Source organism: Homo sapiens, chromosome 18, assembly GCF_000001405.40.
Source record: "Homo sapiens chromosome 18, GRCh38.p14 Primary Assembly".
Classification (NCBI taxonomy): domain Eukaryota; kingdom Metazoa; phylum Chordata; class Mammalia; order Primates; family Hominidae; genus Homo; species Homo sapiens.
This window is the reverse complement of record NC_000018.10, coordinates 56,128,804-56,154,908: the sequence shown is the minus strand read 5'-3', so window position 1 is coordinate 56,154,908 and position 26,105 is coordinate 56,128,804. Positions and strand designations below refer to the sequence as shown.

Genomic DNA, 26,105 nt, shown 5'->3' with positions numbered 1-26,105 from the left:
AGTTTTTAGCATGAAGGGTTGTTGAATTTTGTCAAAGGCCTTCTCTGCATCTATTGAGATAATCATGTGGTTTTTGTCATTGGTTCTGTTTGTATGCTGGATTATGTTTATTGATTTGCGTATGTTGAACCAGCCTTGCATCCCAGGGATGAAGCCCACTTGATCATGGTGGATAAGCTTTTTGATGTGCTGCTGGATTTGGTTTGCCAGTATTTTACTGAGGATTTTTGCATCGATGTTCATCAGGGATGTTGGTCTAAAATTCTCTTTTTTTGTTGTGTCTCTGCCAGGCTTTGGTATCAGCATGATGCTGGCCTCATAAAATGAGTTAGGGAGGATTCCCTCTTTTTCTATTGATTGGAATAGTTTCGGAAGGAACGGTACCAGCTCCTCCTTGTACCTCTGGTAGAATTCGGCTGTGAATCCATCTGGTCCTGGACTTTTTTTGGTTGTTAGGCTATTAATTTTTGCCTCAATTTCAGAGCCTGTTATTGGTCTATTCAGGGATTCAACTTCTTCCTGGTTTAGTCTTGGGAGGGTGTATGTGTCCAGGAATTTATCCATTTCTTCTAGATTTTCTAGTTTATTTGCATAGAGGTGTTTATAGTATTCTCTGATGGTAATTTGTATTTCTGTGGGATCGGTGGTGATATCCCCTTTATCATTTTTTATTGCATCTATTTGATTCTTCTCTCTTTTCTTCTTTATTAGTCTTGCTAGCAGTCTATCAATTTTGTTGATCTTTTCAAAAAACCAGCTCCTGGATTCATTGATTTTTTGAAGGGCTTTTTGTGTCTCTATCTCCTTCAGTTCTGCTCTGATCTTGGTTATTTCTTGCCTTCCGCTAGCTTTTGAATTTGTTTGCTCTTGCTTCTCTAGTTCTTTTAATTGTGATGTTAGGTTGTCAATTTTAGATCTTTCCTGCTTTCTCTTGTGGGCATTTAGTGCTATAAATTTTCCTCTACACACTGCTTTAAATGTGTCCCAGACATTCTGGTATGTTGTGTCTTTGTTCTCATTGGTTTCAAAGAACATCTTTATTTCTGCCTTCACCTCAGCCTTCTGAATAGCTGGGACTATAGGTGTGTACCACCACCTTCGGCTTTAGAGTATTTTTTTGTTGTTGTTCAGGGAAAGGATGGCATTATAATATAAACTTGTTCTGTAACTTTTCTCACTAAATAATATAACATCTAATAAAATATAATTTTAAATCATTTTAATGACTGAATATTGTTCCACAGTATGAATAAGCCATAATTTATTTATTACAACTTCATTGTTGGATTTCTACAGTGGATATTCCAGTAGTTTATGTTATTTTTCAATTTTTCATTATAGGCACTAATAATCACTATGTACATAACACTGAAATGACTCTGACTCATTCTTCCTTAATCATGTAAGAAAGGTGCCTTAAATTAAAATCATAATGGAATCAAGGTAAGAGTTGGCTAACCAAATGCCATATTTTGTCCCCTTGATTGGCATATTATGTGAAATATCTTGGCGTGTTTAATAAAACTTCTCTACCTTGCTGAACTAATTTTTAAGCTTTGTGGGTTTTTCTCTAACAAGGAAATAGGCGTAGAAATGAAAGGTAAGGCTACTGAAGACAACTGGTCCAGGGTGAATAACAACTCTAAGGAAAGGAGCTAGATAAACACCCCTTCCCAGTAAACAAATAGCATCATGTTACTGTAACAATTGCCCTGGTCCTTCCCATGAGAAGAACAAGGCATTCACAGTTGTTTTGCTCTTTTTCTGCCCCCACGTTATTGACTTAGAGCATGACATGTTTGTACAATTGTAACTAAGTCACCAAATGGGAAATGTCTAAATCAAGCTGCAATTAATGCGTCGTAAAGTGCTGGGTAATAAGCCACACATTACCTCTAGGAGGGACAAATTTTTAGAACTAAACTCCAGTGTAAGTCTGAAGCAGCAGAAGATTGGAAAGAAAAAACAATCCTTGCCAGGTTATTGTGGGGTGTGAAAGCCACGCTGTTGTGGAAAGGCAGTGTGAATCCATATTATGCAGAAATCAATGGCAGCCCAATCTTTGCAGACTGCACGAGGCGCCGTGTGACAAGGGCACAGCGATTCTCCTAATCAAGCAGGTTGTGTGAAAGCAAAGAGTCCAGCTGAGCTTGATATATCCAGCTGGACTTTGTTTGCTACTTAATGGAGCAGGTCATAGTTATAACACCCCAAAGAAATCAACCAGCCTCGGCCGGAGGAACACGCGGAAGTGTGGGAACTCCAACAGTTCTATGTTAAATCACTTCTATAGGTCATCTGCAGAGAAAGAGCTCAGAGGAATAATAAAGGGGCGTCATTCTGCTGTCTGTGTTTATGATTCTCCCCCCAGGGAAGGGAATCAGGGTGGGGGGGGAAAGCAATGTAGCTGGAGAAACGTTTCATCTTTTTTTATTCTATGCATTATAAAGCTCTTGGCAGGGCATCAGCCACTAAACTTAGCTCCCCCTTTTTGAAAGCCACACATTACAGGGGTTTTTAAGCCAGAGTGATGGTGATAAAAGGCCAATTCAGGGCTTGGGGACAATTTTTCCTAACAACATGCTTTGCCTCTTTGCTTCTTTAAACACCTGCCGCTTTGTGCAGCCTTCTGAGATACAGCTTTCAGGGTAGCCCTGGCTCTGAGCTGGGAGGGTGAAGTTCAAAGTTAATGCCACTCTCTACTGCCATGGCTGGGGGTGTGCGGCCACTGACCTCACCTTGGCATGAATAATGTCACTGTCAGAATGCATATGGAAGTCAGGAATGTGGGATGGGACTCTTCAATCGTCTTCAACAATGGGCTGCTGACTTTGGAAGCATTAAGACCCCTCTCCAATTCTTGACGGATTCCTTAAAAAGCATCCCCATCACAAAAGCTCTTGGGATTTAAGAGTGCTGTACAAAAGGTGCCTGGCAAATAGATATGTGGATTAGTTAGGGGAGTGATGAGTTTCTGACTACAAGTATGTTTAGGTGAACCAGGCCAGAGGAAGTAAATGCTCTATCAATTAGAACACTAACTACATTTTTCCTTCTTTCTCCACTGGATGGTCTTTACTCACTGCTGAAGAGCTGGACATTGCAACCTGCAGGGATTGAGCCACTAAAATTTGGTGAAGATTCAATAGGAAAAGCTGGAATCCCTGATAATTAATTTGATGATTGTGTGAAACTGCATGTCTGGAGATAAGGTATCACACTGATCAAAGCACATTTGACTCCTGAAACCTCCAAGTCAAATAGTCAGCATTCCCTTGGTCTCTTGAGCTGCAATAACTACAAAAGAAAACAAAAATGGGACAGTGAAGGTGTCCATCCTCCCACCCTCATTAAGTCTGAAGGGAAGAGACACTGGCCATACGACTGACCCTTGCTTTCAGGCTGTGAGCAGAACAGTTTTAGGTAAACTGCAGCATGTACTTAAAGGAAATGGTATAGGAAATTTGAATCTTTAATCTTTCATAATCAAAGATCAGAATATAAGAATCTTGAGTCCCTGGGTCTTGGCTGAATGATATGTTCCTCTTTTATGTAGACAGTACCATCATGGAATGCAAAGAACATGGTGTGGCAAGGTGGGAGAGCTGGGTTCCAGTCCTGGCTCTGCCAGTCCTGCTTAGAAACCCTGAGAAAGTCTCCTCACTTCTCCAGAACTGAGTTTCCTCATCAGCAAAGTGAGAGGCCTAGACATCATGATTTTTAAAGCCTCACCTAACATCTTGTGATTACTCTGGATGCAGTCTGTCTTAGGATGTGCTTTGGTGGAACTGAGAGGAAATTTTACAAGAGTGAATCTCCCCATGATGACACCCCTCCCAGACAAGCCCAGCCCTGCTTTCTGGGCCCCAAGTTTTCCTTCCCACTGGAAGACAGCACTAGGCAGCTCTCTGCCATAGGCCACTCTCTTCTGAGGTTGTCCCTGCCATCGGAGGCTTTTCCTTCCTGGTTAGAGCACAGCTTTGCACCATTTGCATCTTTAATACTCCACAGTGAAAACTCACTGTTCAAATTAATCACTCTGGGCAATGGAAATCCTTGGATGACAAAAAAGACTCCATATTTTGCAACATAGTACTTAATTCATGAGTCAGGAAAGTTGAATTATTTAATCAGAAAGATTTAGAACCACATGGCTAAAAAAGGAAGAGTTGACTTGTTTCATAGGCTGAATAAGAGCTCCCCAAAGATGTCCCACATCCTAAACCCTAGAATCATAAGTGTTATTTTACATGACAAATGGGACTTTGCAAATGTGTTAAGGATTTTGAGTGGGGAGATTATTCTGGATTAGTCAGTTGGGCCTGATGTAATCACAAGGGTCCTTATAAAAGGGATACAGGAGGTGTCAGAATCAGAAGACAAGGTAATATAATGACAAGAAGCAGAGGTGGGCGTGATGGGGCCACAAACCAAGGCCAGTAGCCTTTGGAAGTGGGACAAAGCAAGAAACAGATTATCTTCTAGAGTTTCCTGAAGAAACCAGTCCTGCTAGCACCTTGATTCTAGCCCCGTAAGATCCATTCTGGACTTCTGACCTTCAGACTATAAGATAGTAAATTCGTGTTCTTTTAAGGCACTCACTTTGTGGTGATTTGTGACAGCAGAATAGGAAGCTAATATAACTTATAAATATACAATTAACCAAAAAGCTAAATTTTCAAAATGGACATTTGCTAAAGAGTTTGGTTCATTTAGATTTTATTCAAAAGCAGGTTGTTTAATGATTTGATGTTTTTCTAAATATGTCTTCTCTCAAGTAGACCTAAGAATTCACAATTCACGACCTTTTTTTATATTCTTGCCAATCACAGGAGGTTTATTTACCGTTATTTCCCACCATGTTATGGCTGACAGCTGCCATTGCAAAACAGGATCACCCCAAACTGGATGTTTTTCCCTCATTCAGAGTAGTCAGTAGTTCCTGTCCTCAGTGTATCAGTAACCTCTCGGAAGCAGCCTCTCAACAAATCTCTAAGTCCTTAATCTTCAAACTGCAGGTAGGAAAAGTTGGCCTCTTCCAACTCCCAGAATCCCCTGAGAAATACAGACATGAGGCATCGTTAGTTCTCTATTAAGAAGAGAAACTGTAGAGGATTTGCTAACAAGCCAAGGGGAGCACAACTTTCAGATAGCTTCTTAGTTCGCCTACACTTCATTACCCCAGGCCTTTCTTTGTAAGCTATTTCTGACAACCTTTCCTTGACTACTTGACTCATCTCAATGTGATTAAATTGAGAGCGTGTACTCTGTGATTTAGGGTTGGATGTCCAAGGACGATATAAAGATCAATTTTAAAATAACCAAAGAGAAACAAATTTAAAAAACCACCCTTCCTTAAAACTTCAAAAAGGTCAGTATCCTTAATTGGAGAGGCAGGTGTTAGATAACAGTCGTTGCTGAAAATTCTTTGCAGATGTCAGCTTATAACTCCACCAGAGCAATTTTCAGTTAATATGGGCCTTGAGATGGAATAGTTACGTCCAAAAGCCCTGCCGTTGATTCTAAATTTGATTTTCTTTCACAAAGTTGCACACAGATTTCACAGTTGATCATCTGCATGGGTGAATTTTCCACTGGAAGGCTGATTCTGGAATTTCCTATCTGTAAAGACATATACTGGGCAGTAACAATATAATTAATTTAAAAAGTTAAATATAAACCAAGGAAATTGTTAATATCTGAAAATCTCTCAGCAAGCTGTGTTTACTTGTTTGTTGGGTATAAACCTTTAGATGTATGGAACTAAATTTTGTTTTTTCCTTCTCCTATTCCCCTTTCCTCCTGCTTCTCTTCCTCCTTTTTCTTCTCCTCTTCCTTTTTCTTCTCCTCTTCCTTCTTCTTCCCCTCTTCCTTCTTCTTCCTCTTCTCCTTCTTCACATTTATTCAAGGTCCCTTGATGTTTCAGGTATTTGTTACTATGTGACAACTACCCCAAATCTTGGTGATTAAAATAAAATTTTCGATGACTTAAAATAATAGCCTTTTCTCATGACCTTGTGAGCTGGCTGAAGCTCAACAAGGTGATTCTTCTGCTGGTCCTAACATAGTGTCCCTTATATGGTTGTAGTCAGAAGGCTTCTGGAGTTGGAATATCCCAGATAACTCTGCTCATACATCTGTGGCCTTGGAGAAGATGACTAGAATGTTAGAACCTTTCTTTCATACTCATTCTCCCTTTCTCTCTCTCTCTTCCCCCTCCCTCTCTCCACATGAGCATGGCTAGTTTTGGCCTCCTTATTTGGCAGCTGGATTCCAAGAATGAGCATTCCAAGAGGGCAAGTGGTGATGAGCAAACACTTACCCATCTTCTGTAGACATTGTGTTTGCTAATACCCCATTGGCCAAAGTCAGAGTCAATGTGGGAGGGGACCACACAGGGCTTGACTACTGGGAGATGTGAGTCATTGGGAGCCACAGCCTAATACACTTTGGATTCATGGTGCCTTTTCAGAAACAAACCCTGCTTGAGCTTAATTTCAAGGATATATTCATAGTGTCTTCTTGAAATGTGGATAGATCTAAGGTTTAGTCATTGTTTAGCCATGAAAACAGTTAAGTTGAGGTAAGGAGTTCATGGTTTATTGGTACTATCTCATATTTGGTTGTGACAGTTCATAAACTGTGTTTTTTTGATGCTAGAGAAAGCACAAGACAGGAGTCAGGCATCCTAGGTTCATCCCTAAGGACCACGTGATTCTCATTCAGTTTACAGAGTTAACTTTAAGGTCCAACTGTGTTCCGATAATCAGAAGTTGTTAAAACAGGAGTTCTGGTCAAGTGCATCAAAGTTCCATTGCCTTTACCCACTTCCCATCAGAAAGAGTTTGCTTTTTGGTGTCTTGATTATTCCTACCCATTCTTTAAGTCTACAGATATAAATATTCTTTTGCATTGTCTATTAAGCACTTCAGTAAATGCTTGCTGACTTGGCTTTGTCCTCCGCTATTTCCTAGGGACAGGCCACCTTCCTGACAACTTGTTCTAACTGTAGAAACTAGGGCCGAGCTATGTTGTTATATAGTTATGCTGGTGCATAATGAGTGCTCAACAAATAATTCTTGACTGAATACTTGAAACACTAGGCATAATATCTCAGCATATATTGACTTTTCTCATTGGTTCAAACTAGTGAGTTTTTAAAAAACTCTTTAAACCTACGTTGACAAGATTGTCTCTGGGATTAAAATTAGGATAGGCCTTATTTTAAGAAAGAATGGGACAGAACTTTGGAACATTTCCAACCACACAACAATTTTTCCTAAAGGAAAACTTTCCCTTTGTCATCAGTTAAGGTTATTAAAAAAATAATCAAGTAAAAAAACTTGCTAAATTAAAAAAGAAGTCACCCAAAGTCAGAACTTGAAGAAAATGTGGTGACTTAGATTCTCCTATTAACAGCCGCTTATTCAAGGTCTTTGTAAGTGGTTACTGTACAAAGAAATTGCTAACCACCATGGTTTTTACCTGTGATTCTGAAACATGCTGATAAAATACTCTCTCATTTTCCTCTCTTTCTTGGACTATTAGCATTATTCTGCTCTATTTGGAGCTGAGTGCTAACCAAATCAATAGTCATTTATTATAAAGAAAACAGATTTAAGAAACAACAGACTTGACTACTCTGATAAAACATAGCAAGCTCAAAGTATGAATGCAGTGTTGAATGAAGGATTTGATTTATATGCTGTACAGAAAAATCCAGTAAGCAGGAATGAAAGTTTTTATTGTCTTGTCTATGAATGACTGTTCATAAATATAAAATTAGTATTTATTAAAATAAATTTAGCATTTTATTGTAAATATGGTCATTGTAAATAATGACCCTTTATTATCTTCTTCTTGCAATGCTGCCTTTTAAATTTTAATCACCTCTGTAAAGTAGCTGCCTCAGTTTGCCAAGATTTACGTAAAAATAAATATCCATTTATGATCCAATTTATGCTTTACAAATTACTCACCATTTAAAAAGCTTTTTGTTTGCAAGAAAGAATAGTACTAAAGGAGCAAGATGGGGGAATCCCATGTCTCAAATACCATCTGGTGTCAGGAATGATGAATCCTTAACTGGTGTGAGATATCAGTGTCTATACCACACTGTGTTTTTTAAATGCTGAAGTTATTAGCATTTCAGTTTGGGAAGGGCTAGGTTCTTTTACCGAAGGGGCTGAGCTGTTTCCTATGAATGGTGACTCAGAGATGATAGAGACTTCTTGCTGCAAAATATTGCCCTACCCAGATGCCAAGGCATTTGGAATTTTCCTTTTGGATCTCCTTTGCTTTAGAGTTTTTTTGCTTGCTTGTTTGCTTTGTTGTTGTTTGTCTGGAAACACAAAAAGCATGTCAATAGTTCTGGGAAAGGAGGCATTAAGTCATATTAACATTATTGATGAGATCTTCCCCTACAGATGGAAGATCAAGGCCAAGGCAGCAGACTGAAGCCTAGAAAAGGAGGAAAGAAAGGAAGGCTCTGGAAAAGCCCCAGGGAGATAGCAGGAGACAGGCCAGGACATTGATGAGGAGCTGAGACTTCCACATAGTTTTGTCAGGGTAAACCCTGCAAACCATACGTACTGGGGATAGCAGTTTGCTGAGGAGTGACAACCAGACCAAGATGTGACACACAAGAGTCAATGAGAGGAAAATTTCATCAATTGTATATTTTGATGATACATGAAAAGAAGAACTTGGTACTTAAAAGCCCTGAGTTTTTACCTTGGAGTAACTCTGACAAACTACACCTTTAGCGGCCAGCCCCATGGTCACTTGTCACAGAAAGGATGCTCTTGGTGCTGGATTGATCTGCACGGTCCCAATCAGCCACCATCCTTTATGGTGGATAATTGATTAACAATCAAGTGTTTTCTTCATAAATCATAATTGTTAACCTTTATGAAATCAATATGACAAGTTATTGAGTTCTCAAAAGTGAAATCGGCAATTATTTCTCATCGGAAGTTAACCCGCTTCCTCCTTTTTTTCTTCAAAAACATACATACATGCATGCATACATAGATACATGCAGGCATGCATGCATATATACGTACATACATACATGTATGTATATATGTGTTAGCATATATCTGTCAACATGAACTAATATACTGACTTAAACTGTTTATTAATGTAACCGATAAAATGATTTATATTAATTAAAATTTCATTCCCTCTTTTAACATTTGTAGTTCGATTAGTTAGGCTTCAGCCAGGGAAACAGGATCCAATCTCAGTGCATAAAACTGAGGGATTTTACCCAGCACTTTGGGAGGCCGAAGCGGGCAGATCACGAGGTCAGGAGATCGAGACTATCCTGGCTAACACGGTGAAACCCTGTCTCTACTAAAAATACAAAAAAAATAGCCAGGCGTGGTGGTGGGTGCCTGTAGTCCCAGCTACTCGGCAGGCTGAGGCAGGAGAATGGCGTGAACTTGGGAGGCAGAGCTTGCAGTGAGCCGAGATCACGCCACTGCACTCCAGCCTGGGTGACAGAGCGAGACTCCATCTTGAAAAAAAAAAAATTGAGGGATTTTAATGCGAGAATTGGTTACTGGAGTGACAGAAGAGCCGAGGAGTGCTGGTGGGGAATGAGGGATTAACAACAGCAGGAAGCCCCTACCACCCCATGGCTAGAGGAGAAAAGAAGATCCCAGGGGCTGGACCTATCAGTGGAGCTTGACCAGATAGGCCTGTCTGTGGATCTGGGGTCAAGATGGAGACACATCTGTGATCAGAGTCACTGCATGAAGTTGGGGAATGGTAGGGACATACTCTGACTTCTGACTTCTCCCTTTCGCCCTCCCACCTTATAATTCCCCACCAGTGCTTCCCCCTGGAAGCTGGGAGCTCTCTCACATGGAGCCTGGATAAAGAGTCCATTTTCATACTGGTATAAAGAACTGCCCAAGACTAAGTAATTTATAAAGGAAAGAGGTTTAATTGACTCACAGTTCAGCATGGCTGGGGAGGCCTCAGGAAACTTACAATCATGGAAGAAGGTGAAGAGGAAGCAAGGCACCTTGTTCCCAAGGTGGCAGGAAGGAGAAGTGCTGGGCGAAGGAGGAGAGCCCCTTATAAGACCATCAGATCTTGGGAGAACTCACTCACTATCACAAATACAGCATGGGAGAAACTGCCCCCATTGTTCAATTACCTCCACTTGGTCTCTCCCTTGACATGTAGGGATTATGGGGATTACAATTCAAGATGAGATTTGGGTGGGGACACAAAGCCTAAACATATCACCAAGTCTTCAAAGATCAGCCTTCCCATGCCTCCCTAGAAGACAGGAGAAGAATGGATCCAAGGGCAGACAGGCCTAAGCAAAGACAATGGTCTTTTGTGCAGCTTGTTCAGATGTACAAAATGTCTTGTATCATGTCTGTAAATTCCGGAGATGGCAGGTTGAACTGGTTCAACAGAAAAGATATGATAAGTGTGGACAGAGCCAGATTTCAGATAGGACTCATAATATACACACCCATGCAACTGAATGGTAGCCCAGGGTGCCAGCCACGCACAGGCTATCAAGTCCTCCAGGCTTCAATGTCAATACCCCTGCCAGTGACTGGGAAGTTCAGCACCATGCCCAAGACTTGCAAGGTACACTTAATGCTCTAGGGTCACTTCTGAGCCTCAATCTTCAGTTTTGATATCTGGGAGTGTTCCCTTCTGTGTGTACAGCTTTAACTCTCCCCAGCCTGCCACCGAGGTCAATTCTCCCATCTCACTTCCCAACTAGAAGAGGTTGAATAATGCCCCCCCCAAAAAAAATTGTGTTACACCCAAAACCTCAGAATTTGATGCTATTTGGAAATAGCATCTCTACAAATGTAATTAAGGTAAGGATTGAGTTGAGATCATACTGGATTAGGGTGAGCCTAAATTCACTCTGGATTTCCTTAAATAAGACAGCAAAGGACACACAGAAACACAGAGAAGGAGGCCATATGAAGGCAGAGGGAGAGATTGCAGTGAGGCAGCTGCAAACCCAGGAATGCCAGTGATTGCCAGGAGCCACCAGAAGCTGGAAGAGTCAAGCCAGGATTCTTCCCTAGAGTCATCAAAAGGAGCAGGACCCCGAGGATATCTTGGTTTTGGACTTCTAGCTTCCAAAACAATAGGATAATTGATTTCTGTCATTTTAAGCCCCCCAGTTTATGACAACTTATTACAGCAGCCCTGGGGAACCAACAAAACAAGAAAGTGCTAACTAAGGCTGTGTGCTGAATGCCCCTTCATTTGAGAGTGTGGAGTTAACCAGAAGTGTTTTACCAGGAAGCCAATGACACTTGTGCTCTGGGAACCCCTCACCTACTTAGCTCTGTCAAGGCAAGGTACACCCATAGTCATATTTTTTTTTTTTTTTGAGACGGAGTCTTGCTGTGTTGCCCAGGCTGGAGTGCAGTGGTACGATCTCGGCTCACTGCAACCTCTGCCTCCCGGGTTCATGCCATTCTCCTGCCTCAGCCTCCCTAGTAGCTGGGACTACAGGTGCCCGCCACCATGCCCAGCTAATTTTTTGTATTTTTAGTAGAGACGGGGTTTCACCATATTAGCCAGGATGGTCTTGATCTCCTGACCTCGTGATCCACCTGCCTCGGCCTCCCAAAGTGCTGGGATTACAGGCATGAGCCACTGCGCCCCACCCATAGTCATATTTTTAAATGAAGTAACACTAATACATTTTAATAATTGAATTACTAATAACATTACAATATGATATCTTCTTAGCAATTGATGAAGTATATTGATGCTTTCCACTTGGGCACACTTCCAACACACTTCAGGAGGTGTTGGAGTACCTGTGAGCACCCTTTCAGCTAAGGAGAGTTGGGGTGGGAAGCTTGGTTTGTATTTGGAGGAATTTAGTTTATGTAGTTCACGTGACCTCTGGCTTTAGTCTCAAGATTGCTGGAAGTCCTAGTGTTAGACTTGTTCCTAGGAGTTCTCCTATTGCTCATGGAGGGAGGGAGAGTCCAAGGTTGTACAGTGAAATGCAGGTATCCCATAGCACCCGATGCTGCAAAGATATGGTCGACAAAAGAAAAACAATAAAGAGTATGAAGCCAGAAGCTAGTTTGTGTGATATCTTCAAATGACCAGATATGCGTAATTGGAAGTGGAGGATTCAGTTCTCATTGATGACTGATCAAAACAGAAGTGATCTTTCAGAACTGTACTCAATTTTTCAGCACCTAAAATTATAAATGCACTGTAATTTTTTCTTCTTTTCTCAATGGGAATTGTGCAGAATAGACTATATTACAATCCTTGTGCTTGTAGGGAATAAGCATGTAGTAGTTCTATAGATAGGAATTACGTCTATAACAGCTCATACAAGAAACTTGATAAAAATTTTTCTAAATTTGAAAATGATCCTAAAAATATACATCATATTTTCAATAACTAGTTGTGAATCTGACAAACACATTTTAAAATTACCAACAATAAAAATGCATTTTAATCAAGTATCCTAGAGGAATGATTAAATTATCCTTTCTCTCTAGAAAAATTGTATTATAAAACCGTAGAAATGGAAATTGAGGTGGATGAGCCAAACGATGTAGAAAAAAAATGTATTATAGAAGTGATTCAGTCCATTACTTAATACAAATATTGTGTCATTTGTCTGGATTTCATGATGTCTGTGGAATTTGTCACCTTTAAAATGTGTAATTTGTTGTGATTCTTTTTCTTGTTCTAAATAAATATTCACTTTTGTGACTAAATTTAGTATTTGTAATTTTGTACTCTTACAGAGGGCCTCCCAAATTGTACAAGTGTCAGGTCACCCAGGGCCTAGATCTACCCTTGGGGAGGAGAGAGAAAGACTGCTGTGTGAGCAGAGCACAGCCACTACAAGTCAGCAGTGTGCAGTCCCTAGACTGTCCCTTCCATTCGCAAGCTCCAAAGGCCATTATTTTCAGGAGGCCACCATAGCTGCCCCGCTTCAGTCTCACCAGCTATCTCTCCATCTCTCCCCACTCCCAGGCCCCCAACTCCTTTTTGCTTCAGTTGGCCAGTGCAAGAAGCTACTTCCTTATTACTTTGTTTTGCAAATTAACTTTGATTTAAGTCCCAATCCATATTAGGTTGAAGCCCTAATTTTTGTATCCTGGAACCCCGAAAAGGAATTTTCTCCACTTGATCTTAGCCAAAAGGCTGAGAAGTGGTGACAATATAGAATTTTCTTACCAAGAAAGCTATCTTCCTCTGATCTACATGCTTAGGTACACCCAGAATGTGTGGGATCTTAACACTTGCACTTCTGCTTCCACAGCATAGACATGTGGCTGGGAAGTGGCTTCTGACCCAGGGTTTATATTTTCTAGCATTCCACCTTCCGTTGGCAGGGTTTTGTTCTCTCATTTGCAGCTCTAGTCTGTACCTATTCTCTGGATTCTAGACTCTTATATCCAACAGCTTATTTGATATCTATCCCCCTTTGTTGAGATACGCATTCTGAGAGAATTCTCAGAATTCTGAGAGATACACATTGAGAGAAGTCTACTCAATGGAATGAAAGAGAAAATAATGTTTCATTTCTAGGCTTGATGTATATTAGCTTTCTTCCTCACACATGCCTCGACTTATCCTCCTCCATGCATTTTCCCCCTTCTGGAACAGAAATGACATCCAGAGTTGCCTTGAAAGCTTCATATTGAAAATGGCACCAGGCTGGGTCCCTGAACCACTGTGTGGAAGAGGGCTGTCAATCAGCTCGCCTGCCCAGTGCTACTATGTGATCAAAAAATCATCTTCTAGTGTGTTAAGCCACTGAAATTTTGGGCTTTACTTCTTAAAATAGCTGGAGTTACCATAACTAAAGCAACAGTTTTCTGTTTGGTGTTACCAAATTTCTAGATAAAATTCTTTTCTTCCCTAGCTTGAATGAGCCAGGAAGGTTTTCATTCTTTTATTGATATTCTCTTATCCTCTTTAAATAATAATAACAATAGTTATAATGATAATAATAAAAATATTTTAACAAATATCTTTAATGAGGGTCTCACTCTGTCACCCAGGCTGGAGTGCAGTGGCATGATCTCTGCTCACTGCAACCTCCACCTCCTGGGTTCAAGTGATTCTCCTGCCTCAGCCTCCCAAGTAGCTGGGACTACAGGTGTGCACCACCACACCTGGCTAATTTTTGTATTTTTAGTAGATAAAGGATTTCACCATGTTGGCCAGGCTAGTCTCAGGCAATCCACCCACCTCAGCCTCCCAAAGTGCTGGGATTATAGGCATGAGCCACCATGCCCATCCCTGTGCCAAGCTCTACTCTAAGTCTCCCATGTGTACTATGTCACTGTATCCTCAGGTGGTTCTATTTTGATCTCCGTTGTCCAGGGAAAGAAGCTGAAGCAGAGAGAAATTAAATTGCCCCACGTGGAGTCAGAATGAGAGGCCAAGGGGCTAAATCCTCACAGAACCCGGGACTGACCCATTATGCAAAGCTCAGTCCGGTCTCCCATTTCCATATTTGGACTTAGATTGCTTGGTTAAACATTCTTGTCTTGTCTCCCTTATTCAAACATACACTAATGGGGTTCCTTTGCCCTGGTGAGCTTCTCAGCTACAGAGAGCGCTCTGAAAATGCTGAAAAATCCATGGTCCTGAGGTTGCTAGGATTCTCGGTTCGTCACATTATTTTATTCATAAGTAAAATAAAGCTCAAGGAACCTGACTCACTACCTCAGAGCGAGAAGAAGGAATGAGCTCATGTCTCTAAGATCTGTGAAGCTCTGTGGAATGTGGGTTTAGATAAATAGGAGCTTTATTAGTTGTGCTACTTACAAGCCCCTTCAGTCTTCACTTTCCACCAAACTGTGTGAACAGGCCACAGTCTCCCTCTGCCCCATCTCTTCCATGGGCAGGCTGCCCATTTCAGCTTGGGCTGTGTTTCTGAAATGTCAGCCGAGGGGCTGCGGGTGCTGGAGAAGGAGCTGGGAACAGGACGTACCCGAGGCATTCATTTCAAAAAGACGAGTTCCACTTATTCAGCACATCAGTGGAGTCCAGTGGCCTGGACAGAGCCCATTTCCTGCTGCTGCAGAGGAATGAGGGACTTGTACTCCCTGTACACGATTGTTCAGGGCAGGCCCTTTTCAGGGAGGAAGAGAAGATGGTTTCTCCATTTTGTTCTGTCCTCCCAAGGAACCCATCTTACTGAGCCAAAGAGTAAAGCTCAAAGTTATCTCTATCAAAATTCACTTACTCTCAAAACTTTTTTCTCCTCTTCTTTCTCCTATGAGCCACCATGGTAAGGCCCAGTGGACACTGACCTCCCCAGGCACCAATGCTCCCACATTCCAGGGCCAACAGCCAGTTCTTCTTCCTCCTCCCACCCCACTGACAGGCTGTACTCAACACAGTCTCTCCTCCTTGGACACTTCTTTATTTCAACATTCTTCTCTTTTCCTTCTGCCCCAGTAACTGCTCTGTCTCTTTTGCTAGTTTCTCCTCAGACCCATGACCTCCAAACATCAGAGTGCTCCAGAGATCAAGATCCACCCTGTTTTCTCTTCTGTCTAAAATCCCACCCTGGGAGATCCCACCTAGTATATGGCCTTAAATGTCATCTGTATGCTAGTTACTGTCTTAGTTGCTGATCTGGCCTGGACCTACTCCTTGAACTCTAGAATGCAGCTGCTTGTTTGGCCTCCCTTCAGTTGAGATCTGCCTCCTGAACCTGCCCAAAACTGAGCTCTGATCCCCACCCCCAAATTGCTCCTCCTACTGTTGGCTTCATATCAGTATAATTCTGGTTGCTCAGGTCCCAGACCATAGAGTAACTGTGATTCTTTTTCTTACACCCCATATGCAAATCTCACATTCCCCCGGAATGTTACTATTTCTCTCTCCTTCCCAGCTAATTCCTCAGTCTGAGCCTGTCCCACCTGGAATATTGTAGTCACCTCCTAGCTGGTCTCTCAGCTTCCACACTTGTGCCACCTAAATTTGTTCCCAACATAGTAGCCAGATGGCTTCCTTGAAAATGTAAATGAAATCGTATAATCTTTCTGCTAGAAATTCTTCAGTGGCTTCCCAAATCATGCAGATCCAAATTTGTGATCTAAGCTTATGATCCATCCTCTCACCGTCCCTCTGATCTTACCTCCCACTCCCTTCCCACTCATCCCTGCACTCCCACTGTAGTGGCTTTCATGACCAACCTTGAACATGCCCAGTGTGCTCTTGCCTCAGGGCCTTTGACTTGCTCTTCTCCTCCTTCAAACGATCTTCCACCACACGTCCACGTGGCTGTTTCTTTATCTTTGTTCCGTTCCCTGCTTAAATGTTATCTTATGATAAAGGCCTTCCCTAGTCACCACATCCAATAAAGCATTTTTCCATTCATCTATCATTCTCTATGGTCTTACCTGGCCTTATTTCTTTTTAGCATTTTATAATAACTTGATATATTCAGTATTATTTATTTTGTTTATTACTTATTTCTTTCCTTGAAGTGTAGAATACAGCTTTATTTTTAAAAATAGCTTCCTGTTTGTGCACCACTGTGTTTGCATGAGAGTCACTGTGCTTACATGGAGTCACAACAAATGTGTGTTGAATTAATAAATAAATTTCTTCCCATTAGTAGAAGTTAACATGTGTGTGTGTATCTGTGTGTGTGTGAATCTGTGTGTGTATGTCTGTGTGTAATGTGTGTTGTTTCTGACTCATCAAAGGCTGTGTGCATAGGAGGTTAGATTTTATTCTCTTCTCAAAAAGTCAGTGTGTTTTTCCCTGTATCCTTTCTGCCACCATAGCCCTAGTGAAAGGAGCAGAGTCAATGTATTTCTGGAAAGAGAATAGGATGTAAGAGAGGATATTGCTGCACAGAAAAGAGGAAGGAAAAGCACATCCCTCTTGGTACAAGATGATTGTATGGAAGGGAAGGGGGTCAGAAAGAGACGAGATCAGATACAAACATGTTGGACTCACCTTCTGCACCTGCCCTCCTACCCCAGGGGAAATTATGAAAACTCTGAGAGTACAGAAAGTTTTTCCATTTCTTATTTAAAATTCTGAGAAGGGATCACTTCATGGAATAATTTCTTACCCTCTCTATACAAATCTATGCATCAGAATAAAATTGCTGCTATGGTGGCATGGTTAGGAGAACAACAGCTTGAAATTAGTACCCTAGAACACCATCTAGTTCAATATGCCTTCAAAAATATCTAGAAGTCCCAACTGGCTTTGTGGAGGGACACAGAAGGAAGGTGATGGTGCTTCTGGTGGTGAATTACTGAGGAATCACTGCAGGGATGGTGAAGTGGCCTTGTTGCCATGGCCTGTTGAGGAGGTTGCCTAGGCTAAAGAATAAATGAAAAGAACTTTCAGACCTCATAGATGAATAGAATGAGCAAAAGTTGCAGCACAGCGTGTCACCAGAGAGGAAAAGAATATCCTTGCTGTGCCAAGAAAGAAAAGACCATGGATCTACTAGTTGCAGATTTCAGCAGTAATGCCAAGGGGGCAAGAAGTGACCAGCAGAACAATTAGGCCATGGCAACAGAAGCCAACTACAACCCATGTTCCAATCTATGACCTCCCTCTCCTGCTGGTACAAGGATATGGTGAGCTATCTCACACATTCATTCACCCAGAGATGATATTTGAGACATTTAACAATGGCATGGCACAGGTAGTGATACTGCCCACAGGATGGCTTAATTCCTTTTTTCCCATTGCCCTGAGGTCAGGAAGATTATTTTCCTATATTTGTTTTACATAATATAAGTTTTATAGCTTTTCCTTTCATCATCAATTCTCTTAAAATATTTGGAATTAATTTTTGTATATAGTGTGAGGTAGAGATTTAATGTAATACTTTCTCCATCATTTACCCATAAAACTTCCAAAAGGGTCTAGATTTTTCACCATGACTCTTAGGAATGTGGCAAGGGGTGAGATTTCTTATAGTGGAATGGGTTTGGTGGGATGTTGGCAGACATTCGTATGCATGGATTATTTGTAAATCAAGCGTTTGTTTGTTAGTTGGATGGTTTATGCCTCTCCCTCATATTGTCCATTAGTGCTCCATGCTTGAACCTTTTCATTGCCAGGACTTAGTTTGTATAAATTGACAGACTGAGTCAAGTACATTGGCTGTTGTTGTTACACCAAACATATCATTTGTCCAAGTTCCTCTGTGGAACCAAAACAGAAAATAATTCTGGTTAAGTATATGACACATTTGCCTTCCCACATTACTTTGATAGAAGGGAACCCCAAGGCAGACAAAAACTGCATCTCAGAAAGAGTGAGATGAAATCTCCAAGAGCCTGATACTCTTAGGAAGTTCTTTGCACAGAGTGCATATATTTTGTGACTAAACAATAAGCGTTTATTCAGCATCTATGAAATGAATTTCAAGTTTACAAGCTTTAAAAAATAGCAAAATCCCTAGGTCTCTGCAATAGGCAAACCAGAATTTCACTTAATTTGTTGCTCATCATTTTGGCCTATAAACTCAAATACTTATTAACGCTGTAAATATGCCTTTTTACTGTCTGTCTGACAGCGCCCATGCTTTCTATGCTGTCTCCTTAAACATTTATGAGTGTTCATGAATATGCAAATGCACAATCTAATGTCTGCAAATGGTTGCAAGTACAAATGCTATGTTAATATTTCATACAGTGATGGGAGCAAATCAACAACCATAAATTTTGAACAAATATGTTGCCTCATTAATAACTAATGAGGCAGTGCATAGAGCTGAGGATTTGGCATTTAATGTAAAAGTGGTGTTTAAACAGAGTCTATCAGACAAGGCCACAGCTTCCAAAAATTCACTAAGATCTGCTTCTTTCAGAGTGGTTTCTGTTTGGAGGCGAGGGAAGGTTTTTGAGAAGAGAGTGATTCATAATAGTTGTTTTAAAAGATGAAACTCCATTACATGGTAGAAATCAAATATACCTTTATGAACAAGAAGTGTATTTGATTCAGTGTTCCACTTTCCTGGGAGTTGATGATGTGTAAGATCAACTAAGGAGAGTTTAAATACTTAGTATTAGGTTGGCGCAAAAGTAATTGTGGTTTTTGCCATTAAAAGTAGTAGTAATATAGAAATGTATGCAGCCAAGGAATTGGAAGAGCTAACCCTATTTGCCCCTCATGAGACTAGTGCTAAGTGAATTGGCTTTATGAAAGAGCTAGGCCAGTTCTGAGACTCATAACTTTGGTTCATGATTCCAGTGCTTCCACACTTTACCACGTTCCTAATTCTGTGGGGCACCAATTTTCTTCTATCTTGGTCAATTAAATATTAAAGCTAAAACTCACAATTACTATGTATTTGGGACCTTATGTCAGAGATTTTAAATAGAGAAAAATACCAATACTAGGCTCAAAAGTCACTTTATAGCTCTGGGTGTCAGCATATTCATTCATAAATTGACCAATCTCCAAGTTTTAAAAACTTTCAGGGGACTCTTCCTTGGATGAGATACAAGATGTTTAGGAATTTTTCAGCTTTGCTGAATTATCATGAACAGCATCCATGGCCATTTTGTAGGCCTGAGGAGTAGAATGTATAGTAGATTGGATAAGCTAATATTGACCATACAGTATATCCTGGAAGGTTCTCTTCAAAAATCATTTATTGATGTCAGCTTAATTATTTATTACTTGTTTTCCTCTTCATGGAAATCATTATAACCCTTTTAGTAGTAGTAGTACTTTACCATTTTTAAAGTGCCTTTTAAACATATTACTTTATTTCATCTTCAAAAGTTGCCCCATAAGTAGGTATGATTATCCATATTTTACAGATGAAAAACTCCATCTCAGAGAAGTTAAATTACCTGTTCAAGGAAAAAATAAAGTCAAACCTGATTATTTGAAGATGTGAAAGTTTAAGTTTATTATTATATGCATCTTTATAAAATACCATCTTAAAAGTATTCTTGACTTTTTAAAATAGGTTCCTTTGCCATTGATACACCTAGACCAATTTACTTTCATCTTCTTTGATTCAGATTCTGGTTTTGGTTAGCCTGATTCTCTTCATTACTCAAATCCACATCCAGGTAGGAAATAAAGTATTCAGAGGTCAGCAATAATTTCTCTGGTGATGTAGTTCATGTTCAGTGAAATAATATGTTAAGGCACCCCTTAGTGAGGACTCTTGTGGTGAACTATTTTGTATCTTGACTATGGAGGTGATTGTAGGAATATACATGCATGATAAAATGGCATAGAACTAAAGACATACACACACGTGCATATTAGTGCCATGTAAAACTCATGAAATCCATATAAGATCAGTGGACTGTATCAAAGCTAATTTCCTGGTTGTGATATTCTACTATAGTTATGCAAGGTGATACCATCATGGGAAAGGGAGTAAAAGGTACACAGGTTCTCTCTGCAATGTTTCTTAGAACTATATGTGCATCTACACTTAATCTCAAAATTAAACTACAATACACAAAACTGTAGTTAAAATACAATTAAACTGTTTTTAAAAAGACCCTTGTGATTAGTTAGTATTAAATTGTTTACATAATTCTTGAGGACACCTTGGACCCAGAGGAGCATAAAGGGTGTTTCAATATGCTTTATGCTCTCACTGTGAGCCATTACAACTGTGAGTGTGTCAGTGGGTATTGTGGAAGATCTGTTAGGCTTAAAGACCCAGACACTAACTAAACACTTCTATTTTCTAGCCATGTGATTTTGAGCAAGCCACTTTCTACTTTGAGTCTTGACTTGATTTGTAAGCTCTATGATGAGGTTATAATAGAGCTAGCTCTTAGCATGCAGTAAGACATCACCTCTCCATCTTCACTGCCCTTCCAAATTTACCTCTTACCCTACAACCATAGTAGATATATACAGTTTTTAATTTTCCTTTAAACACATTTTTGATTTCCCCATTTTTTAAATTATACTTTAAGTTCTGGGATACATGTGCCGAATGCACAGGTTTGTTACATAGGTATACATGTGCCATGGCAGTTTGCTGCACCCATCAACCTGTCATCCACATTAGGTATTTCTCCTAATGCTATCCCACCCCTTAGCCCCGACCCCCTGACAGGCCCTGGTGTGTGATGTTCCCGTCCCTGTGCCCATACGTTCTCATTGTTCAACTCCCACTTATGAGTGAGAACATGCAATGTTTGGTTTTCTGTTCCTGTGTTAGTTTGCTGAGAATGATGGTTTCCAGCTTCGTCCATGTCCCCGCAAAGGACATAAGCTCATTCTTTTTTATGGCTGCATGGTATTCCATGGTGTATATATGCCATATTTTCTTTATCCAGTCCATCATTGCTGGACATTTGGGTTGATTCCAAGTATTTGCTATTCTGAATAGTGCTGCAATAAATATATGTGTGCATGTGTCTTTATAGTAGAATGATTTATAATCTTTTGGGTATATACCCAATAATGGGATTGCTGTGTCAAATGGTATTTCTGCTTATAGATCCTTGAGGAATCGCCACACTGTCTTCCACAATGGTTGAAGTAATTTACACTTCCACCAACAGTGTAAAAGTATTCCTATTTTTCCACATCCTCTCCAGCATCTGTTGTTTCCTGACTTTTTAATGATCACCATTCTAACTGGCATGAGATGGCATCTCATTGTGGTTCTGATTTGCATTTCTCTAATGATCAGTGATGATGAGCTTTTTTTCATATGTTTGTGGGCCACATAAATGTGTCTTTTGAAAAGTATCTGTTCATATCCTCTGCCCACTTTTTGATGGGGTTGTTTTTTTTTTTCTTGTACATTTGTTTAAGTTCTTTGTAGATCCTGGGTATTAGCCCTTGGTCAGATGGATAGATTGCAAAAATTTTCTCCCATTCTGTAGGTTGCCTGTTCACTCTGATGGTAGTTTCTTTTGCTGTACAGAAGCTCTTTAGTATAATTAGATCTCATTTGTCAATTTTGGCTTTTGTTGCAATTGCTTTTGGTGTTTTAGTCATGAAGTCTTTGCCCATGCCTATGTCCTGAATGGTATTGCCTAGATTTTCTTCTAGGGTTTTTATGGTTTCAGGTCTTACATTTAAGTCTTTAATCCATCTTGAGTTAATTTTTGTATAAGGTGTAAGGAAGGAGTCCAGTTTCAGTTTTCTGCATATGGCTAGCCAATTTTCCCAACACCATTTATTAAATAGTGAATCCTTTCCCAATTACTTGTTTTTGTCAGGTTTGTCAAAGATCAGATGGTTGTGGATGTGTGATGTTATTTCTGAGGCCTCTGTTCTGTTCCATTGGTGTACATATCGGTTTTGGTACCAGTACCATGCTATTTACTGTAGCCTTGTAGTATAGTGTGAAATCAGGTAACACAAAGCCTCCAGCTTTGTTCTTTTTGCTTAAGATTGTCTTGGCTATACAAGCTCTTTTTTGATTCCATATGAAATTTAAAGTAGTTTTTTTCTAATTCTGTGAAGAAAGTCAATGGTAGCTTGATGGGAATAGCATTGAATCTATCAATTACTTTGGGCAGTGTGGCCATTTTCATGATATTGATTCTTCCTATCCATGAGCATGGAATATTTTTCCATTTGTTTGTGTCCTCTCTTATTTCCTTAAGCAGCGGTTTGTAGTTCTCCTTGAAGAGATCCTTCACATCCCTTGTAAGTTGTATTCCTAGGTATTTTATTCTCTTTGTAGTAATTGTGAATGGGAGTTCACTGTGATTTGGTTCTCTGTTTGTCTATTATTGGTCTATTATTGGTGTATAGGAATCCTTGTGATTTTTGCACATTGATTTTATATCCTGAGACTTTGCTGAAGTTGCTTATCAGCTTAAGGAATTTTTGGGCGGAGACGATGGGGTTTTCTAAATATACAATCATGTCATCTGCAAACAGAGACAATTGGACTTCCTCTCTTCCTATTTGAATACTTTTATTTCTTTCTCTTGCCTGATTGCCCTGGCCAGAACTTCCAATACCTATGTTGAATAGGAGTGGTGAGAGAGGACATTCTTGCCTTGTGCCAGTTTTCAAAGGGAATGCTTCCAGCTTTTGCCCATTCAGTATGATATTGGCTGTGGGTCTGTCATAAATAGCTCTTATTATTTTGAGATATGTTCCATCAATACCTAGTTTATTGAGTGTTTTTAGCATGAATGGGTGTTAAATTTTATTGAAGGTTTTTTCTGCATCTATTGAGATAATCATGTGGTTTTTGTCATTAGTTCTGTTTATGTGATGGATTACATTTATGGATTTGTGTATGTTGAACCAGCCTCGCATCCCAGAGATGAAGGCGACTTGATCATGGTGGATAAGCTTTTTAATGAGCTGCTGGATTCAGTTCGCCAGCATTTTATTGAGGATTTTCACATCGATGTTCATCAGGGACATTGGCCTGAAATTTTCTCTTTTTTATTGTGTCTCTGCTAGATTTTGGTATCAGGATAATGGCCTCATAAAATGAGTTAGGGAGGAGTCCCTCTTTTTCTATTGTTTGGAACAGTTTCAGAAGGAATGGTACCAGCTCCTCTTTGGACCTCTGGTAGAATTTGGCTGTGAATCCATCTGGTCTTGGGCTTTTTTTGGTTGGTAGGCTATTAATTACTGCCTCAATTTCAGAACTTGGTATTGGTCTATTTAGGGATTCGATCTCTTCGTGGTTTAGTCTTGGGAGGGTGTATGTGTCCAGGAATTTATCCATTTCTTCAAGATTTTCCAGTTTATTTGAGTAGAGGTGTTTATAGTATTCTCTGATGGTAGTTTGCATTTCTGTGGGATCAGTGATGATCTCCCGTTTATCATTTTTTATTGTACCTATTTGATTCTTCTCTCTTTTCTTATTAGTCTGGCTAGTGGTATATTTTGTTAATCTTTTCAGAACACCAGCTCCTGGATTCATGGATTTTTTTAAGGGTGTTTCGTGTCTCTTTCTCCTTCAGTTTTGCTCTGTTAGTTATTTCTTTTCTTCTGCTAGCTTTTGAATTTGTTTGCTCTTGCTTCTCTAGTTCTTTTAATTGTGATGTTAGGGTGTTGATTTTTTATCTTTCACAAAATGTAATAACAATATCACGATCACATTTAAAAAATTAACAATTCTTTAATATCATCTAATATTCAATATTCAAATCCCTGATGTCTCATGATTTTATAAAATAGATTGTTCAAACCATCAACCAAATGAGGTCACAGCAGATATTTCTAATGCATGACTTTTTCCTACTGATCTAGCAATTACTTCAGAAACTTTCTCAACACCGCACTCCAGATGACCCCTACTCTATGGTCAGGGTTGCCCCATAGGGAAATTGAAACCAATTTGCTTTTCCCAGACTAGAGTTCCTGATAAATCCACTTAGGTCAATTGTTCCTAATGGATTTCTAAGTCATTATTGAGGATCTGATAAAAAGCTGATGATTTTTTCTCTGATAATTAATCTTTAGCTGTTTTGTTTGTTTGTTTGTTTGTTTGTTTTTAGAACTAGCCATATTTTTGGTCCAGCCTTCTATTCTATGCAAGTAGTTAGGACCAGGACCATTGAGTTCCAGCTGACCTGAGTTTGAGTTTGAATGAAATCTCCTTCACTTACCAGCTGCATGACTTAATAATGATCTTGACCCTTGTAAGCTCTAGCTACCTCATCTGTTAAATGGAGATGAAAGGATGCATATCTCAGAGGACTGTGGTGAAGACCAAATGAACTAATTTAAGTATTGGATAATCATTAGAAGCAATTAATAATAATAAAAAATAACTGGCACAATAACCAACAAGGAGTTAGTATTCGCAAATTATATTTATATTTTATATAAATATGTATTTATATTTTATATAAAATATAAAATATAAATTATATTTATATTTGTAAATATAAATTATTAAAATATAAATATAATGTATATTTATATTTTATATAAATATATGTTTATATTTATATAGTAATATTAATATTATTACTATATTACTTTAGAATGTGGCTGTAGCATCATTTTTGGAAGCCAGAATGGTAATACTGAAAATCACTGCTTGTCTCAAGATCCAACTTCTGGAAATCTCAACCATTCTGAATACAGCCATCATTCTTAAAATTGAAGAGAACTGTTTTACAAGATCTTGACTTGTAAAGAAACCAAGTTTATTAAGGTAAAAAAAAATGGTACTACTCTTACCTTGAGAACTGTGTTTAAGAAGCAGAACAATGTATTAAAGGAATCTGGCAATGAGAGAAGCCACAAGACTATTGAAAAAGACCAGCATCCTCGGGTAATTTAGGGTGGGGACCAATGGGTCTGTTGTATCCTTTGAGGGCATCCCTCTATTACAGAAGAACCCAGAAAATGATGTTTCTAGGGCTGCCCAGTGAGATATTAGAATCATATTCAAAAACACTGACCTAAAAAAAGAGGTATAGGCTGGGCGTGGTGGCTCTTGTCTGTAATCCCAGCACTTTGGGAGGCTGAGGCAGGCAGATCATGAGGTCAGGAGTTTGAGACCAGACTGGCCAGCATGGTGAAACCCCATTTCTACTAAAAATACAAAAATTAGCCAGGTATGATGGTGCACGCCTGTAGTCCCAACTGCTTGGGAGGCTGAGGCAGAAGAATTGCTTGAACCTGGGAGGCGGAGTTTGCAGTGAGCCAAGATTGTGCCACTGCTCTCCAGCTTGAGCAACAGAGTGAGACTCTGTCAAAAAAAGAGGTATACACAGTAGTCATCCCTTCTCTGTGGGGGATATATTTCTGTGGGGTATACATCTTCAGTGGATGCCTGAAACTATGAACAGTACTGAACTCTAAATATACTATGTTTTTCCTGTATATACATACCTATGATAAAGTCTAATTTATGAATTAGGCACAATAAGATATTGAAAACCACTACTACTAATAAAATAACATTATACTGCAATATAAAGTTATATGAATGTGATCTCTTACAAATATCTTATTGATTTACTTACTTATATTGATAATATTCTTGAACTGCAGTTGACTATGGGTAATGGAAACCACAGAACAAGAAACTTTTTTTTTTTTTTTTGAGACAGAGTTTCACTCTTGTTGCCCAGGCTGGAGTGCAATGGCACGATCTCGGCTAACTGCAACCTCCCCACCCCGAGTCCAAGTAATTCTCCTATCTC

At 39.6% G+C, this 26,105-nt stretch overlaps 3 long non-coding RNA genes across 7 annotated transcripts in view; 2 read left to right on the top strand and 1 right to left on the bottom strand.

Moving 5' to 3' along the window:
• Positions 1–26,105, top strand: part of LINC03069 (long intergenic non-protein coding RNA 3069) — a 187,650-nt gene that overhangs the window by 36,354 nt on the left and 125,191 nt on the right. The gene's annotated exons all lie outside the window — the stretch shown is intronic.
• Positions 4,703–17,331, bottom strand: LOC105372132 (uncharacterized). Of its 4 annotated transcripts, none has more exons than XR_935498.4 (3): positions 16,966–17,331; positions 16,194–16,307; positions 4,703–5,055 (listed from the first exon to the last, which is right to left on the bottom strand). It is a non-coding gene; the product is annotated as an uncharacterized LOC105372132 (long non-coding RNA). The 4 variants fall into 4 exon arrangements; XR_007066386.1 differs by having other exon boundaries at positions 4,969–5,055; positions 17,084–17,169; XR_007066384.1 differs by lacking the exon at positions 4,703–5,055 and adding an exon at positions 11,680–12,037 and having other exon boundaries at positions 16,966–17,315.
• LINC01539 (long intergenic non-protein coding RNA 1539) overlaps positions 17,373–26,105 on the top strand; it is a 54,181-nt gene continuing 45,448 nt past the window's right edge. The window contains exons 1-2 of one of the 2 annotated variants that reach the window (NR_040025.1): positions 17,373–17,603; positions 24,936–25,108. This is a non-coding gene — a long non-coding RNA (long intergenic non-protein coding RNA 1539). The remainder of the gene's footprint in view (positions 17,604–24,935; positions 25,109–26,105) is intronic. The other variant, NR_040026.1, reaches the window with a different exon arrangement.